The sequence below is a fragment of the Homo sapiens genome, chromosome 10 (genome assembly GCF_000001405.40).
Source record: "Homo sapiens chromosome 10, GRCh38.p14 Primary Assembly".
In the NCBI taxonomy this organism is placed as follows: Eukaryota; Metazoa; Chordata; class Mammalia; order Primates; family Hominidae; genus Homo; species Homo sapiens.
Window position 1 is genome coordinate 45,584,707 of NC_000010.11, and position 17,622 is coordinate 45,602,328.

At 42.4% G+C, this 17,622-nt stretch overlaps 1 protein-coding gene across 9 annotated transcripts in view, besides 4 other annotated features; it reads right to left on the reverse strand.

The window, feature by feature from the left end:
* Positions 1–10,201, reverse strand: part of MARCHF8 (membrane associated ring-CH-type finger 8) — a 140,323-nt gene extending 130,122 nt beyond the window's left edge. For 4 of the 9 annotated variants that reach the window (XR_007061947.1, NM_145021.6, NM_001401646.1 and 1 more), the window contains exon 1: positions 9,529–10,201. The gene's annotated coding sequence lies outside the window, so the exon portion shown is untranslated. Of the gene's footprint in view, positions 1–5,817; positions 5,869–8,677; positions 8,919–9,528 lie in introns of all 9 variants that reach the window. The other 5 variants (XM_047424769.1, XM_047424764.1, XM_047424768.1 and 2 more) reach the window with 3 other exon arrangements.
* Positions 6,396–6,896: an enhancer, noted in NCBI's record as "H3K27ac hESC enhancer chr10:46086550-46087050 (GRCh37/hg19 assembly coordinates)". NCBI's record gives its function as "activates a minimal SCP1, AML or CMV promoter by ChIP-STARR-seq in primed H9 embryonic stem cells {active_cell/tissue: H9 hESC(primed)}" and the evidence as "EXISTENCE:reporter gene assay evidence [ECO:0000049][PMID:30033119]".
* Positions 9,688–9,757: a silencer, noted in NCBI's record as "silent region_2344". NCBI's record gives its function as "represses an Ori minimal core promoter by ATAC-STARR-seq in GM12878 lymphoblastoid cells {active_cell/tissue: GM12878}" and the evidence as "EXISTENCE:reporter gene assay evidence [ECO:0000049][PMID:35858748]".
* Positions 9,858–10,017: a silencer, noted in NCBI's record as "silent region_2345". NCBI's record gives its function as "represses an Ori minimal core promoter by ATAC-STARR-seq in GM12878 lymphoblastoid cells {active_cell/tissue: GM12878}" and the evidence as "EXISTENCE:reporter gene assay evidence [ECO:0000049][PMID:35858748]".
* Positions 10,298–10,367: a silencer, noted in NCBI's record as "silent region_2346". NCBI's record gives its function as "represses an Ori minimal core promoter by ATAC-STARR-seq in GM12878 lymphoblastoid cells {active_cell/tissue: GM12878}" and the evidence as "EXISTENCE:reporter gene assay evidence [ECO:0000049][PMID:35858748]".

Genomic DNA, 17,622 nt, shown 5'->3' on the forward strand with positions numbered 1-17,622 from the left:
AGTGGACCCAATCAAATCATATGAGCCCTTAAAAGCAGAGAATGGTCTCCATCTAGAGAAGGAAAAAAATATGAGTCAGAGAGATTCAAAGCATGAGAGAGATTCAACCTCCTATTGCCGGCTTTGAAGATGAAGAAAGAAAGAGGATCACAAGGCAAGAAATGTATGGCCTGTAGAAGCTGAGAACGACCATCAGCTAACATCCAGCAAGGACACATGGACCTCAGTCCTACAACCATATGAACTGAATTCTACCAACAACCCAAATAAGTGTGGGAGTTGATTTATCTCCAGAGCCTCCAGAAAAGAATGCAGTCCTACTGACAACTTGATTTCAGCCTCCTAAGACCCAGAGCAGATAACCCAGCCAAGCCTACTGCATTTCTGACCTATAGGACCATGAGATTTTAAAATGTGTGTTGTTTTAAGCCTCTAAGTTTGTGGTAATTAGTTACACAGCAACAGAAAACTACTACTTCTAGAAAAGTTGAAGAAATGCATTATCCTACAACCCAGCAGCTATACACCTGACCATACACAAAGAGAAACTCTTGCCCAAGAGCATAAAAAGACATGCACAATGTTCACATCACCACTGCTCATGATAGAAAAAAAATGGACAATCCAGTCATTCATCAGTACTACAAAGGACAAATTGTGGAATATTCATAATGTAACACAATAAGACAAGGAGACACCAATGAACTACGGCCATACAAAAATATGAATGAGTCTCAAATCTCATACGGAATAAAAAAGCAAATGAAAGAAGTTTACCCACAATACAATTCTAGTCATAAAGTTCAACAGCATGCAGGGCAAAACAACACAGCTTAGAGATACAAATGTGGTAAAACTATAGCAATGAAATAATAAAAACAAAATTCAGGGTAGCAGTTATGTCTCTGGGAACATAACAGAATGGGATCAGAGAAGAGAGATGAAGGGCATCAAAAGTAATGTAGATTGTTCCTAACTGGTGATTACAGAATAACAGCACTTACATTCTATACATAATTTATAAATATTGTAATATCTATTCAATATTTGAAAAATGAAAACATCTAGATAATCAAACTTCTACATAACAAAAAAAACTTCTTTTCTTTGGCAAAGATGTGTTCATTGAAAGGAATAATTCAAATGATATAAAGAGTCCAATCATTTTTTTAATCACCTAAAATTCTCACCACCTGGACATAATTAGTAACAATTTGCTTAACATCCTTCTAGACATTTCCTATGAGTATACATACATTTAAATATTTTACATAAAATCTCAGTATATATACACATAGGTATATGTTCAGTCTGTAAATGCTTTTTAGACCCTTTTTAAAAACAACTCTATTAAGACATAATTTACATAAAATAAAATGCACCCATCTTAAGCATAATGTGAAGTTCTGACAAAAGTGTATAAAAAGTGTATACGTAGTATAACCACCACCCAATCAAAATACAGAGTAATTCCATCACCACAGAAAGTTCTCTTTTGCTCCTCTGCAGTCATTCCCCACCCCTACCTATAACCTCAGGCAACCACTAATCTGCTCTCTTAATGTTTTGGTGGTTCTAGAATTACACATCAATCAAATCATACAGAATGTAGTGTTTTGTCTGGCTTCTTTTGCTCAGCATAATGTTTTTAATTTCATATAGTGACACTGTGCAATTCACTCCTTTTTTCTCCTAATATCCCATTGCAGACTTGTTGAAAGATTATACTCTTTCCGGTGTTAAGCACTGAGTACAAGTCATTTGTGAATTTAAGGTTTTATTTTACACCCAGGGGTGTAAATGTCTAGGTCATACAGTAAGTGCATGTTTAAGTTAATAGGAAACTGTCAAACAGTTTTCCAAAGTGCCTGTACATTCCTATCAGCAATTTATGTAAAATTCTGATTGCTCTACATCCTCACCAACACTTGGTATTGTTAGTCTTTTTCATTTTGACCCTTCTTGTAGGCAAAAAGTTGCTCATAATTTCCTTTAATAAATATATTGGGAATTTTTAGTATGTCTACTAGAATTTCAAATACCTTATTTTGTGAAGTTGCTCCACAAATTTTTTTTTTACCGATTTTGCAATTTGAGTTCTCTAGCTTCTTCTTAATTTACTGAAGTTCTTTATATATGCTGGATAAAAGTCCTCTGTCAGATACATAAATTGCCAACATTTGCTCCCAGTCTATAGTATACTGTTTCTTTTCCTTAACATCTCCTAAAGTGCATACGTTTTAATTTTATTAAGTCCAATTTAACATTTTTAAAATGTTGTAGTTAGTGCTTTTTGTACCACATATAAGACTAAATGCTTTCTCCCTCAAATTGACAACAGGACATGGACATCTGCTCTCACCACTTCTATCATAATATTGGACTTGAGGTCCTCATCAGTGTCATAAGGCAAGAAAAAGAAATAGAAAGCACATGAGTGGAAAGGAAGACGTAAAACTGTCTTTATTCAATGACTGTATGTGGAGAAAATCCAACCAAAAGACTACCAGAACTAGTAAGTGGATTCAGAAAGGCTACAAGACACAAAGACAATATACAAAAATCAGCTGTATTTTTACACATTAGCAAGGAATACTTGAGAAATGATTTTTTAATCCTATTTACAATGACATTAAAAATGTAAGATATTAAGATATAAATTCAACAAAATATGCATAGGACCTGTACACTGCAAAACTAAAAAACATGTTGCAAGAAATTAAAGAACTAAATAAATGGAGAGCTATACCATGTTCATGTATTGAAAGGTTCGATGACATTAAAATAGCAATTCTCCACAAACTGATCTATAGAACCAAGACAATCCCAATTGAAACCACAAGTTGTTTTCTTTTTTAAAAAACCTAACAAGCTGATTTTAAAATACTTTTGAAAACACAAAGGACCTATAATACCCAGAAAATTTTTGAAAATAAGGAACAAAGTTGGAGGATTTACACTAACCAATTTCAAACCTCATATAAAGTTATAGATAAAGATAATATGGTACCGACATAAGAACAGACAGCAAAAGCAACAGGAGAGAGTCCAAAAGCAGATCCACACATACATCACCAGTTGACTTTCAACAAAAATGCCAAGAGAACTCAATGGGCAAAGGATAGAGAAAGGGGAAGAAACTCAATAGGGAAAGAATTACCTTTTCAACAAATGATATTAAAAAATGTATATTAGACCAGCTAGCTTGAGCCCAAGGCCTCCTCGGACAAAAAATAAAATTAAAATTAAAAAACTGTGTATTCATAAAGGAAAGTAAAGAACCTAGACCCATAGCTCATACCAAACACCCTATCAACCCCTAAAAATTGATCATGAACCTTAATAGTGGAGCTATAAAACCTCTAGAACATAGGAGAAAATTCAGTAGGCTTTTTTTCACACAATATTTCAGCTATCCTTACATGCTAATAAATATATTTTTTCATTTTGTCAAAAGTAAAAAAAAAAAAAGAAAATCCTTACAAACTGTGAAAACATGTCTTCATTTCTTAAATGAAATTTCGAAACACTTTCCTTATCCATACAGTCATACAACATTTCTTCAACTGAAGAACAGAAATATTCAAAGGAAAAGAACAAAAATCTTTTTAACCTCCTTTCATATAGTTCCTACAAGAACGGGTTGGCTTCTATGAGACGGTAGTTTTGCCTTGATGATTCTTTTTTGAGTGCCTTTGCTGAAGTCATAAATAAATAAATCTCCCAACATATTAATACCACTTATGTTTTAAATATAAAAGTTACCAGAAAACCATACCAATATGTGAAATGTTATGTACTGCTATATTGTCTTAAAATTGCCTGTTTTGGTTGATAAAGACTTGTATTATACAGAGATTACACATTTTTTCAAACTGTAATAAAAGAAATTTTAGCCATTTTAAGTATAATTTATCCCCAATAATTGGCAGGATATCTCAATAAATGTATCATTGACTATTGGTTATGAATTGTGGTTAACAAAATAATGAATAAAAGAATCCATTATAGGCCGGGTGCAGTGGCTCATGCCTGTAATCCCAGCACTTTGGGAGGCCAAGGTGGGTGGATCACGAGGTCAAGAGATCGAGACCATCCTGGCTAACACAGTGAAACCCCGTCTCTACTAAAAATACAAAAAATTAGCCTGGCATGGTGGCAGGTGCCTGTAGTTCCAGCTACTCAGGAGGCTGAGGCAGGGAGACTGGCATGAACATGGGAGGTGGAGCTTGCAGTGAGCCAAGATCACGCCACTGCACTCCAGCCTGGGTGACAGAGCAAGACTACGTTTCAAAAAAAAAAAAAAAAAAAAAAGAATCCATATTATAATTTAGTAATTTAATCACCATAGTTTTCCAGAAAACTAAAATTTAAAAAATACACATTGCAACACTGCTGCTTATGAGTGTTTACTGTTGCACACAAGTTAACCCAAAACTCAGTAGTTTAAAACAATGGACATTTATTACCTCATAGTTACCATAGGCCAGAAATCTAGGCACAGCTTAGCTGGGTACTTCTGGGTCAAAGTCTATCATGGGGTTGCAGTCAAGCTGCTGGCCAAGCTGTGGGATCCTCTGAAGGCCTCCATGTATTAAAAGGATATGGTTCCCATCTCAGTCACATGGCTATAAGCAAGTCTCAGTCCCTACCACCTAGGATTCTCCAGGAGGCATACAACATGGCATCTTTGTTAAAAAAAATTTCCTTCTTTCCACTAATAGCTTTTTTGCAGGTGTGCAATTCAATAGTTTTTAGCAAATGCACAGAACTGTACAACCATCACCACAATCAATTTTAGAATATTTTATCACCCCAAAAAGAAACCTAGTCCTCTTTAGCTGTCAAACCCCCATTTTTCCCCACCCCCTACCCCAACACCAGTTCTAGGCAACCAGTAATCTACTATCTAATTCTATATTTGTATTCTGGACATTCCATATAAATGTAATCACACAATGTGTTGCCTTTTGTGACTGTTTCTTTTATCACTTAGAATGTTTTCAAGGTTCATCCATTTGTAGCATGAGTCAGTACTTCATTCCTTTTTATTCCTGAATAATAGTCCACTGCATGGATAGACCACATTATTTAAACCATTCATCAGTTGATATATGTTTGAGTTGTTTCAACTTTTTGGCTATTATGGCTACCGCTACTGTGAACATGTACATACAAATATTGGCATAAATATATGTTTTCATTTCTCTTGGGTATATACCTAGGAGTGGAACTGCTTTATCATCCCTTATCCCAAATCTAGCCATTTCAAGAACTGCCAGACTGTTTCTCAAAGCAGTTGCTCCAGTTTACATTCCAACATGTAGATTCCAATTTCTCCACAACATCACCAACACTTATTATTACCTGTCTTTTTTATTATACATAGCCATCTTAGTTTACTAAGATGGTCACTTAGACAGTCACTTAGTAACCGTCTTAGTTACTTCGTTGGTGTAACATGGTATTTCACTGTGGTTTTGATTTCCATTTACATGGTAGCTAATGATGTAAAACATCTTTTCATGTGCTTACTGGCTATTTGTATGTCTTATCTGAAGAACTGCCTATTCAAATCCTTTGTCGATTTTTTTGAGTTCCTTTTCTTTTTATGACTGAGGTATAAGAGTTCCTTAAATACTCTGGATACTTACTCTGGATACTAGACCTTTAATAGATACATGGTTTTCTCATACCAAACACTGGGGAGCATGTAGACAGGATAAAAACAGGAACTCTCCCACTGCTTGTAGGACAATAAAACCGTACAGCTACATTGGAAAGCAATTTGTATCTAGTAGTTACTGGTGTACGCACCTGACAAACAACAACTCCAATCCTAGATGTATATTCCAGAGAAATTCTTACCTTTGAAGAAAAACATGGATGAAACTTAGTAACTAATTTAAAAAGTTGCAGGAAAAAAAGTCCACATAGCATGATGCCATTTATATAAAGTTTAAAAATATGCATAAGCAAACAATATTTTGGGGGGATATACATATACAACGTAAAATAACATTATCAAGAAAGCAGGCCAGGCGCAGTGGCTTATACCTGCAATCCCAGCACTTTGGAAGGCTAAGGCAGGCAGATCACTTGAGGTCAGGAGTCTAAGACTGTCAGGCCTGAGCCCAAGCTAAGCCAACATATCCCCTGTGACCTGCACTTATACATCCAGATGGCCTGAAGCAACTGAAGATCCACAAAAGAAGTGAAAATAGTCTTAACTGATGACGTTCCACCATTGTGATTGGTTTCTGCCCCACCCTAACTGATAAACGTACTTTGTAATCTCCCCCACCCTTAAGAAGGTTCTTTGTAATTCTCCCCACCCTTGAGAATGTACTTTGTGAGTTCCACCCCTTGCCCGCAAAACATTGCTCCTAACTCCACCACCTTATAGGTGTTGAGAAACCTATAAGAACTAATGATAATCCACCACCCTTTGCTGACTCTCTTTTCGGACTCAGTCTGCCTGCACCCAGGTGAAACAGACAGCCTTGCTGCTCCCACAAAGCCTGTTTGGTGGTCTCTTCACATGGACGCCTGAGACACAGACCAGTCTGGCCAACATGGTGAAAGCCTGTCTCTACAAAAATACAAAAATTAGTAGGGCATGGTGGCGTGTGCCCATAGTCCTAGCTACTTGGGAGGTTGAGGCAGGAGAATTGCTTCAACCCAGGAGGCAGAGTTGCAGTGAGCCAAGATGGTGCCACTGCACTCCATCCAGCCTGAGTGACAGAGCAAAACTCTGTCTCAAAAAAAAAAAAGCAGCAGCAGCAGCAAGCAAAGAAATGACAGACACAGAATTCAGCATGCTGGTTACCTTTGAGAGGAAGGAAGAAGTACACAGGAGGTCTCAATGCTATTGGTAATATTCTACTTTTTTCAATACATACTCTTATATGCGTGACACATTTAATAAACATTTTTTCAAAGAGCTTCACTGACAACTGAAGGTCTTTCTAATACAGAAAGACACCAGAGCAGTTCAAAGTAAATATAAAGGAGATGAGAGCATCACAGTGAACCAAACACCACACATACACAATATTGTAAAGTATTTTAAATCCAGCAAAGTGTATGCTTTGTAGAACTGAGAAGACAGATTCCTTGCCCTTATCCACTTCTTTCCACCGTTCTGTCCACCTCTGTCTTCCTGATCCCACCTCTACTTCCATGTCCAGAATCCACTTCTACCTCCTCCAGAGATTTTCTTCCATATATCAATCTGAAGGGCACCCATCCTTCCTCTCAATTTCCATAGCATTTGTACCTCTTCAAAGCCTTCATCATATTATCCTCAGATTACACGTTTTAACTCCTCTATCAGAAATTAGCACCTGGAGAACTAGAACACCAGTCACATCATCAACCTGGCTCTCCAAACACACCAAATTTTTTGTTGACTATTGATTTAAAAAATGAATTAGAAAATTCAGGCATTTCCAAGTGAGTTAAGAAATTGGTCTGGACAAGAAAGAAAGAAAGAGTTTAAAATTACACTCCTTGAAAAAGAATTTCAAAATTGAAAACCCTTCAATACAGCAAAGACAAAGCTGACAACAGTCAGATAAAATATAAAATGTTTATAGTGTATACAGTGATAATTTTTCATATTCACAGGGAACAAAATTAGAAGCCATAAGAATAACTTCCTGATTACTTGGCATCAGAACAGTCCACGGCTTTAGAAAATGTCTTGCAGTCAACCACAAACCTAGGGAACAGGTAGGGTTGTAAAGTGTCTTTTACGGGGGGGAAAAAGCACATACCATTTCAAGGCTCGAAAAAATGAGGTTACTTTTAGAAATTTCAGCAATATTTTTAACTTGCTTTCAGATATTTTAAACTACTTACCACCAGAAGTATAAACCTAAACATTATGTGATTATAGCAGAAATGGAACTACTACATAAGGGAAAAAGAAACAAACCACAAGTGAATCAACGACAACCCTCAAGAACCAGACGCTACTACTGACAACCATTAGGGTTTCTTGGCTGCTTGAATCAATTCATTCCCAGCTCTGCTTTGAGCTGGCACTAATTTAAAGGAGACAAAAATGTTGGAGCTAAGGCTGCCAGATTTAGGAAATATAAATACAGCAAGCCCAGTTACACTTTAATTTCAGACAAACAACGAATCTTTTTTTTAGTACAAGTATGCTCCCACGTAATATTTATAGTAAAAATTTATTTTAAAAATTTTACAAAAATTCACTGTTTATCTGAAATTCATATCAACTAGGCATCCTGTATTTTATCTGGCAAACCTAGCTGGAGCCAAAAGGTAGAATAGTAATCAATCCAATTTCCTCATTTTTCAGCAGAAACTGAGAACCAAAGAAAGGAACTGACTTGCTTAAGCTTAAGCCAAAGATCAGGGAAGTAAGTTGGTTTTGAAAAGAGAAAACCTTTCCACTAGGTCACCTTGGGTACCACTTACAGTACATTCCACTTCCAATTCTTGCTCAACTCACAGAAGCACCAAGCAGACAAGGTGTAAAAGAGTATGGTTTCCCTCTTGTAACATTAAACTTCAAGTTTCAGTACATCTCTTAAAACCCTAGTCTCCAAAATCAATTAGGAAACTATGTGCTACTCTTAAAAAAAAAAAACCTGATAATTTTGTCTACACACTACCACCTCATACTGTTTATATTTTCACTCACCATATGAAACAGGACATCCTTCTCTCCTGAACTCAGTTCTCTCAAAATCCAAAATTCTCTTGCTCCAGGGTCTCAAGATTTCACACAAGAGCATGTTCACATTATTTCATGACTCTCAACGACTTGAGTTCGTATACTCCTTCAGTTTTCATGCTTTTTAGCGTTTTCATGTTTTTCAGATATGTCCTAACCCATTCGGTTGGCCTCAAAAGTCTCCCATTCCCATTCTGTATCGGAGCAACTAAATCAGCAATGAGGAATGAAGTCTCACTATTATAAACATACACTTACTTCCCCAGGGACTGGGATGCAAGGAAACATGGAAAGAGAAACGTCTTTATCAGAAATTTTGGGGCCAAAAAGGCCCCGAAGTATGGTATGTGAGGGTTATGCTAGCTGTCTAATTACATAGCATGCAATCGAACAAAATAAAGAGAAAAATAACAGAAAACTCCACACATGCAAAGAATTCATTTTCCAGATCCCATCAAATTAAAAAATACACAAAACATTTCCTCAACTCCATACAGAGCTCCTCAACCTATGACTTGCAGGGGTCCTCAAGGGTAGTTAGCGTGGGGATGGGTGGTGAGAATAGTGATAGTGAGGCAGAAAAGGGTTCCATTTTTATTTATTTATTTTTACAATTTGGGCTTCCAAATAGGTTTTAAGAAAAAAAGGTTTTGTTGCATTAAAGAAACATGAAAACGGTAACATAAACCATTATAACCCCCACCCAATAAGTTTTCTATTAAAAACTTCACCCAGGTGGACAGGAATACGAATCGTTTAAGATGAAAACAGATTTAAAGACCAAAGAAAAGTTAGCAATTAAAGGACAAAATAGTTACCTATGCTTTCCTTCTGGCACCCCGAATGTACGCAGGTCTCTCGAGATCACACGTCAGACGTGGAAGGTCCTCACGGATCACTAGTCCGAGCTTCCATTTTACAGATGTGCACACTCAGGCCAAAGACGACGGCTGACGGGCCAACGTCTCACAGCCGGTCAGGGAAAGGAATTCACCTGGCACCCGGGGCGGCCGGCCTAGAGCCCTGGGCGCTGACCGTTTCTGCGATTCCTGGTTCCGCTCGGCCCGGCCCCAGGGGCAGACGCGAGCACCGGGGCAGAGAGACCCACTGCCTGGAGTCGCGCTGCCTCTCCGCGGGCTCCACGCCGGGCCCGCAGCGCAGGGATGGGTCCTTGGCGGCCGCCCCCACCCAGCCCAGCCCAGCCCAGCCCAGCCCAGCCCACCTGTAGCCGACGCGCTGCCGGCAGCCACACCCCCTGCCCGGGCCGGGGGCTCGGCCGCCCTTATTGGCGGCCAGCGGCGGCGGCTGCGCGCGGCGTGGGGGACTCCGATCCTAGAGGCCGCAGGAGTTACCTCAGGTGGGCTCTGAGCTGGCGGCGCTACCGCCCTGGCCCGCCTCGAGCATGCCCGAGACGTGGACGCAGCAAGGCCGCACCTCCCCCAGCGCGTCGCCTGTTTACACCCTACGCCCCTCCGCGGGAGGACACCGAGTGGCAGGTCACGTGACGCGGGCGTCACGTGTCCGGCCGAGTTGGGTGGAGGCGTTGCCCCGGCGACTGCAGCGCGCTGGGGGCGGGCTGCAGCGGGTGCCGCCGCGCGGCCTTTCTGTGCTTCCACCCCTTCGCAGTGCCCAGGCGACAACCCACTGGGCTTGGAACCGAAAAGACTTCCCCAGCTCTGTGTGTGTCGTTTAGTGTCTCCTGGCCCTGACTACATGTTATTAATATTAGTGTTTTGGAAGGAAAAGGAAATTTTGTCTGGCAAAAGGATGTTTTACTTGGAGAAGAAGATGGAAAATACTTTCTTACCTGAGGCTATCAAACGGGAGGAAAAGCGAAGGAATAAGTAATAACGGTTTTTGCCTTGACAGATTTTTGTTTGCTTTCGCTCCCTAATCTGGACTGAAAGATTCCCACAGCATAGCCTCTCAGCCAGAGAAAGCACGTGAAGGAGGTTTATACGACTTCTTACTTTTAAGTTGTATTTTAATTTTTATGGGGGAATCATCTCTGTGTACATACAGACGTCTAAATATTTGATTCTGCATTCATCTCTTTTTTTTTTTTTTGAGACGGAGTCTCACTCTGTAGCCCAGGCTGGAGTGCAGTGGTACGATCTCGGCTCACTGCAAGCTCCACCTCCTGGGTTCACGCCATTCTCCTGCCTCAGCCTCCCCAGTAGCTGGGACTACAGGCGCCCGCCACCACGCCCGGCTATTTTTTTGTGTTTTTAGTAGAGACGAGGTTTCACCGTGTTAGCCAGGATGGTCTCAATCTCCTGACCTCGTGATCCGCCTGCCTCTGCCTGCCAAAGTGCTGGGAATACAGGCATGAGCCACTGCACCGGGCCAGACTCTGCATTCATCTTTTGTCCACATAAAACTCTCATTATTCCTCTGTCACTTTCATCACTGTCTACCAAATCCAATTTTCCTACATCAAACTTCCCAGAAATAGTTTCAACCACTGCCAGTTTTATTTCTCCCATAATCATGCATAAAAGATGAATAATTTGTATTTCTTAGTAAATTCATGAGTGAATTATAAGCAAATCCTCTCAAATATTCCATAGTTGTTCTGTTGTCCCGGAGTGATCTATCATATAGCTAATCAATTCCTCCCTACAATTCTGACCACTTTGAATTTTTGGCTAAGTAAAAAGCAGATTGTCAGGTTCAAAACAGTGTGCTCAAGATATCCTCTGGATCAGCAAGGTCAAAACATCTCCATTTCTATAACACACTTACAATACAGTATTACAAAGAGCAGAAAAATGATGAATTTTCTCCATTTGTCTTTTACTGTGGAAAATAGGTTATCAAGGCCAGTTGCCACAACCTGGTTGGCTCTACTGCTTCTGGCAGCAGGTGTTCCATGAAGGTAGTACCAATATCTTCCATTGGTATAGCTTATGCCTAGACCAGGCTTGTTGAGCCAAAGGGTTGGCTGACTGATGAATGGATATGGAATCCTGTCATCCTTCTACAGGAAGCGGCAGAACCTTCGTAGTTCAACAGGGATCTGTGAGCTATGCAGGGCTGATAAGCAGCACTCATGGAGACAAAGCTAGGGTGAGTCCTGGCGCAACCATTACTGTCTAGGCAATTTCCTTAACCTTTCCGAGCCTCTCTTCAGCTTTCTGAAAGATATCTACTGAATAGAGTGGTTATGAGACAAAATGAGGTAATGCCTGTATAACACTTTTAAGTGCCCAATACATACAGTGTTGGGTAAATGTTAACCAATATGGTCTTTGGCGACGGGGTATTAGTATAGGAGGTCAGAGTCCTGAGGGAAAGGGAGCTGACAACTTGAACGTGTCCAGGTCCTGGGTCCAGATTCTTGCCACCTGGAGTGTAGTTCAAGAAGGGATTGCCAGCCAGGCGTGGTGGCTCACGTCTGTAATACTAGCACTTTGGGAGGCCGAGGCAGGCAGATCACCTGAGCTCAGGAGTTCAAGACCGGCCTGGCCAACGTGGCCTAGCCAACATGAAACCTCCTCTCTACTAAAAATACAAAAATTAGCCAGGCATGGTGGCGGGTATCTGTAATCCCAGCTACTCGGGAGGCTGAGACAGGATAATCACTTGAACCTAGGAGGCAGATGCTGCAGTGAGCCAAGATCATGCCACTGCACTCCAGCCTAGGTGACAGAGTGAGACTCCATCTCCAAAAAAAAAAAAGGGGGGGGCGGATTGCCAGCAAGGAAACAAAGCACAATTGGGAAGAAACTGTTGCACTCAGAATGTAAGGCAGCCAGTAAGGGAATTGCTCATAGGGCACCAGGTGCTCACTCCAAGAGGCATACTGGCCTTGTGGCAACAGCTTAATTCCAAATCCTCCCTGCTTGTGTTAATGGGGACTCCTAATACACTGCCTTTCCTTTGCCTTAGCCCACATAGGGAAATTACCTACCCTCTCCTACAGTTTGTGGGACATGAAGACATAAGAAAGAATTCAGGCTTGAGCCAAGTGATCAGTGTTATCTCCAGAACCAGTCACACTGACTCCCTACCAAATGGTTAAATACATCAACCCATCAACCATGTTCTAGTTTTGTTGTTGTTGTTGTTGTTGTTGTTTGAGACGAGTTTTGCTTGTGTTGCCAAGGCTGGAGAGCAATGATGCGATCTCAGCTCACTGCAACCTCCACCTATCTGGTTCAAGCAATTCTCCCATCTCAGCCTCCTGAGTAGCTGGGATTACAGGCGCCTGCCACCACACCCAGCTAATTTTTGGTATGTTTAGTAGAGACAGGGTTTCACCATGTTGGCCAGGCTGGTCTCGAACTCCTGACCTCAGGTGACCCGCCCGCCTCGGCCTCTCAAAGTGCTGGTGTGCCCGGGGTTGGTTCCTTCTGGTGGGTTCTTGGTCTCACTGACTTCAAGAATGAAGCCACGGACCTCTGCAGTGAGTGTTACAGCTCTTAAAGGTGGCACGGACCCAAAGAGCGAGCAGCAGCAAAATTTATTGTAAAGAGCAAAAGAACAAAGCTTCCACAGTGTGGAAAGGGAGTCGAGCAGGTTGCTTCTGCTGGCTGGGGTGGCCAACTTTTATTCCCTTATTTGTCCCTGCCCACATCCTGATGATTGGTCCATCTTACAGAGCACTGATTGGTCCATTTTACAGAGTGCTTATTGGTGCATTTACAATCCTTTAGCTAGACACAGAAAAGTTCTCCAAGTCTCCACTTGACCCAGGAAGTCCAGCTGGCTTCACCTCTCACTGGGATTACAGGTGTGAGCCACGACGCCCAACCATGTTCTAGTTCTTTAAAGAGTTTCATTGCAAAAAATAAAATGTGTTGGCCAGGCGCAGTTGCTCACGCCTGTAATCCCAGCACTTTGGGAGGCCGAGGTGGGCAGAACACAAGGTCAGGAGATCGAGACCATCCTGGCTAACAAGGTGAAACCCCATCTCTACTAAAAATACACAAAATTAGCCAGGCGTGGTAGCGGGCACCTGTAGTCCCAGCTACTCGGGAGGCTGAGGCAGGAGAATGGCGTGAACCTGGGAGGCAGAGCTTGCAGTGAGCCGAGATCGCGCCACTGCACTCCAGCCTGGGCGACAGACTGAAACTCCATCTCGAAATAAAATAAAATAAAATGTGTTATGTATGACAAAATATATGGCAAATGTACAGTGCATGGCTCTATAATGCCACCCAATCTAATACAACAGATATGCTAGTGTTCCCACTAGAATAGATGAATGTAAGGACTAATGGGGAGCTTGCAAACAAAGGAAGAAACTAGCAATAACCTAGTAAAGTGTTGCAAAGCTATGTGGTAGAGCCAACATTGAATTCACGTTTCCTGGTCCCAAATCTAAATGCCTTTTCCTTTTTTTTTGTTGTTGTTGTTGTTGTTGCCTTGATATAATACTTTTTCCTTTTTATTAATAACCTTAATAAAGATATAGTTTCACCAGACTCGAGTTCACCAGACTGGAATTCAGAGGAGAGATATAGAGATATAAATTGAAGATTAGGCAGTGGTATTCAAAAAGCCACATGATTGGATGAGATCACACAGAGAATTATTTTCATATCTTTGACCTCAACCCAAAATACAAAATACATTTTACATATTAACCAAATACATGTATATAATTTAAAAGTTTCCAGAAACAAATTTACCATTCCTACGTGTGATGCACGATTTCTTCTGTTTAAATTTTTCACTCCGAACTCAATTGATTTTTTTAACCCAGTAACAGTTGTGGCCTACAGTTTGAAAATCATTGAAAGTCACCGATCTAGGACGTTCATAAGTCCGAATTGCATAATTGCAGCAAAAGAAGAGACTGAAAGGCTAGACATCTGGTACTGTAGAGATAAGAAGGAAATTTAGAAGAAGCAATCAGAGTTAAGAGGAGAACTGGAACAGAGGAGTCCTGATCAAGTGAAGAAATGTTTCAGGAGACAAGTGCCTAAAGGTGTCATTTGCACTGAGAGGCTGAGTCAGTTGAGGATTGACCTCTGAACTGTCAGTGTAGAGATCACTGAGACCTTGGGAACAGAGCAATTAAGATAAAGTGGTAGGATTAAAAGCCTGATTCTTGAGATAACAGATGGTGACGACAAGTAAATACAATCATTGCTTTCTTGCTGTAAAGGAGAGCAGGGAAATAGGATCATAGTAGGTAAGAGATGCAGGATTGAGGTTTTCTGTTTAAATATTTATATGCTAATACAAATGCTGTAATAACTGGATGTACAAGAAAGTGACAACTGTAAGAAGGAAAATCTTGAGTAGATTGGAGGAGTCATCCTTAGATAAGGAAAAAACAAGAGAAGGGGAATAGCAGGCCACAGATACAGATAGCTTGGTAGATTCGTTGTTGAACATGAAACTGACCCAATAGTCCCATAGACAGTTCTTTTGGCCAAACATAGAAAGTGACCCTTCTTTTCTTAAAGCTCGAAACTTACATTTGTTTTATCTGAGTTCCTTTCTCGGGAAGGACCCCTGGCCTCTGAAAAAGTATCAAATAATTGAAACTTACCAGATTACCACATTCAGACAATGAGATGCCAGACCCTTCCTTTTGTTTCCTTACCGCTCCCTAGTTCGTGTTTTCTAACACACTGTTACACTTCTTCCCCGCTATATAAACCCCAAATTTTAGTCAGGGAGATGGATTTGAGACTGACCTCCCATCTCCTTGGCTGCAACACCTGATTAAAGTCTTCTTCCTCAGCAGTGAGCACCAAGACTTAGACAGAATCCCCGATGTTTCTGTATCATGTGGAATTTCTCTTCGATTGTTGATAGTTTAATAAAATAAAAGCTGAGCATGACAAGAGGGAGAGAGGTGCTGGTGGTTTGAGAAAGGAGAGCATGTGACTATCATCCAGGAGCTGCTACAGCCCAGCCCAGCCCTAGGATCTCCCACGTGGATGACTGCTGTATATTTCTCTCAACTTCCATCCTTGCCTCCTTACAGTCTTTTTTTTCCTACACAATCGCCAAAGTGACTTTTCAAAACCATGTCAACCCCAGTATTTTCCCAATTCAGAATAAAATCCAGAAGTGTTTGGCTCTAAGTCCTGCATGATCTAGCCCCTATTTCCCATCGTCCTCTCACTTGCTTTGCTCTAGCCACCTGACTTCCTTGCTGTTCCTTAGTCTCCTCAAGAGTAGAACATTTCCTTCCATTTCTGAGAGGTGACAGCGTGCGCCCTCGCTCGCTCTCGGCGCCTCCTCGACCTTGGCGCCCACTCTGGCGGCGCTTGAGGAGCCCTTCAGCCCACCACTGCACTGTGGGACCCCCTTTCTGGGCTGGCCAAGGCCGGAGCCGGCACCTTCAGCTTGCAGGGAGGTGTGGAGGAGGCGTGAGCAGGAACCGGGGCTGCGCGCGGCGCTTGCGGGCCAGCTGGAGTTCCCGGTGGGAGTGGGCTTGGCGGACCGGCACTGGGAGCGGCCTGCCGGCCCTGCCGCCCCGGGCAATGAGGGGCTTAGCACCCAGGCCAGCGGCTGCGGAGGGTGTGCTGGGTCCCCCAGCAGTGCCGGCCCACCGGCGCTGCACTCCATTTCTCGCCGGGCCTTAGCTGCCTCCCTGCAGGGCAGGGCTCTGGACCTGCAGCCAGCCATGCCTGAGCCTCCCCCTCCTCCGTGGGCTCCTGTGCGGCCAGAGCCTCTCCGACCAGCGCCGCCCCCTGCTCCAGGGCACCCAGTCCCATCGACCACCCAAGGGCTGAGCAGTGCGGGCGCACGGCGCGGGACTGGCAGGCAGCTCCACCTGCAGCCCTGGTGTGGGATCCACTGGGTGATGCCAGCTGGGCTTCTGAGTCTGGTGGGGACGTGGAGAACCTTTATGTCTAGCTCAGGGATTGTAAATACACCAATCGGCACTCTGTATCTAGCTCAAGGTTTGTAAACACACCAATCAGCACCCTGTGTCTAGCTCAGGGTTTGTGAATGCACCAATGGACACTCTGTATCTAGCTAATCTGGTGGGGAGGTGGAGAACTTTTGTGTCTAGCTCAGGGATTGTAAACGCAACAATCAGTGCCCTGTCAAAACAGACCACTTGGCTCTACCAATCAGCAGGATGTGGGTGGGGCCAGATAAGAGAGTAAAAGCAGGTTGCCTGAGCCAGCAGTGGCAACCCCCTTGGGTTACCTTCCACACTGTGGAAACTTTGTTATTTCGCTCTTTGCAGTAAATCTTGCTGCTGTTCACTCTTTGGGTCCACACTGCCTTTATGAGCTGTAACACTCACCATGAAGGTCTGCAGCTTCACTCCTGAAGCCAGCGAGACCACAAACCCACCGGGAGGAATGAACAGCTGCAGACGCGCGGCCTTAAGAGCTGTAACACTCACCAGGAAGGTCCGCAGCTTCACTCCTAAGCCAGCGAGACCAGGAACCCCACCAGAAGGAAAAAACTCCGAACACATCTGAACATCAGAAGGAACAAACTCCGGACACGCTGCCTTTGAGAACTGTGACACTCACCGTGAGGGTCCGCGGCTTCATTCCTGAAGTCAGTGAGACCAAGAACCCACCAATTCCGGACATGTTTCCTCACTTCCTTTATAGCTTATTTAAATGTGACTTTCTCGAGGTTGTCTTTGACCATCCTTTGTGAAACAGCACTCCTATCAATGTCACCTTCCCCTGCTTGGTTTTTGTTATTAGCACTTATTGCCATCTCTGGCAGAGATTTATAGCACATTAAATATCCATTTGCTACCAGCTCCTTTCATATAACCCTTGCAATTAGGTCAGGCCCTATAAACAATGGGCTGTGAGCAAAAAGGGGCATATACACATCTAGGCAAAAGCACCAAATGCAACCCTCCAGCTCTGTCTTCCCCTGCTGCAGTGATCTAGACCACATGTTGCAGTGGTGAAGCCACAGAGTGGACACAGCCTAAATCACTGAGTCACTGCCTGGGTCAGCTGTTC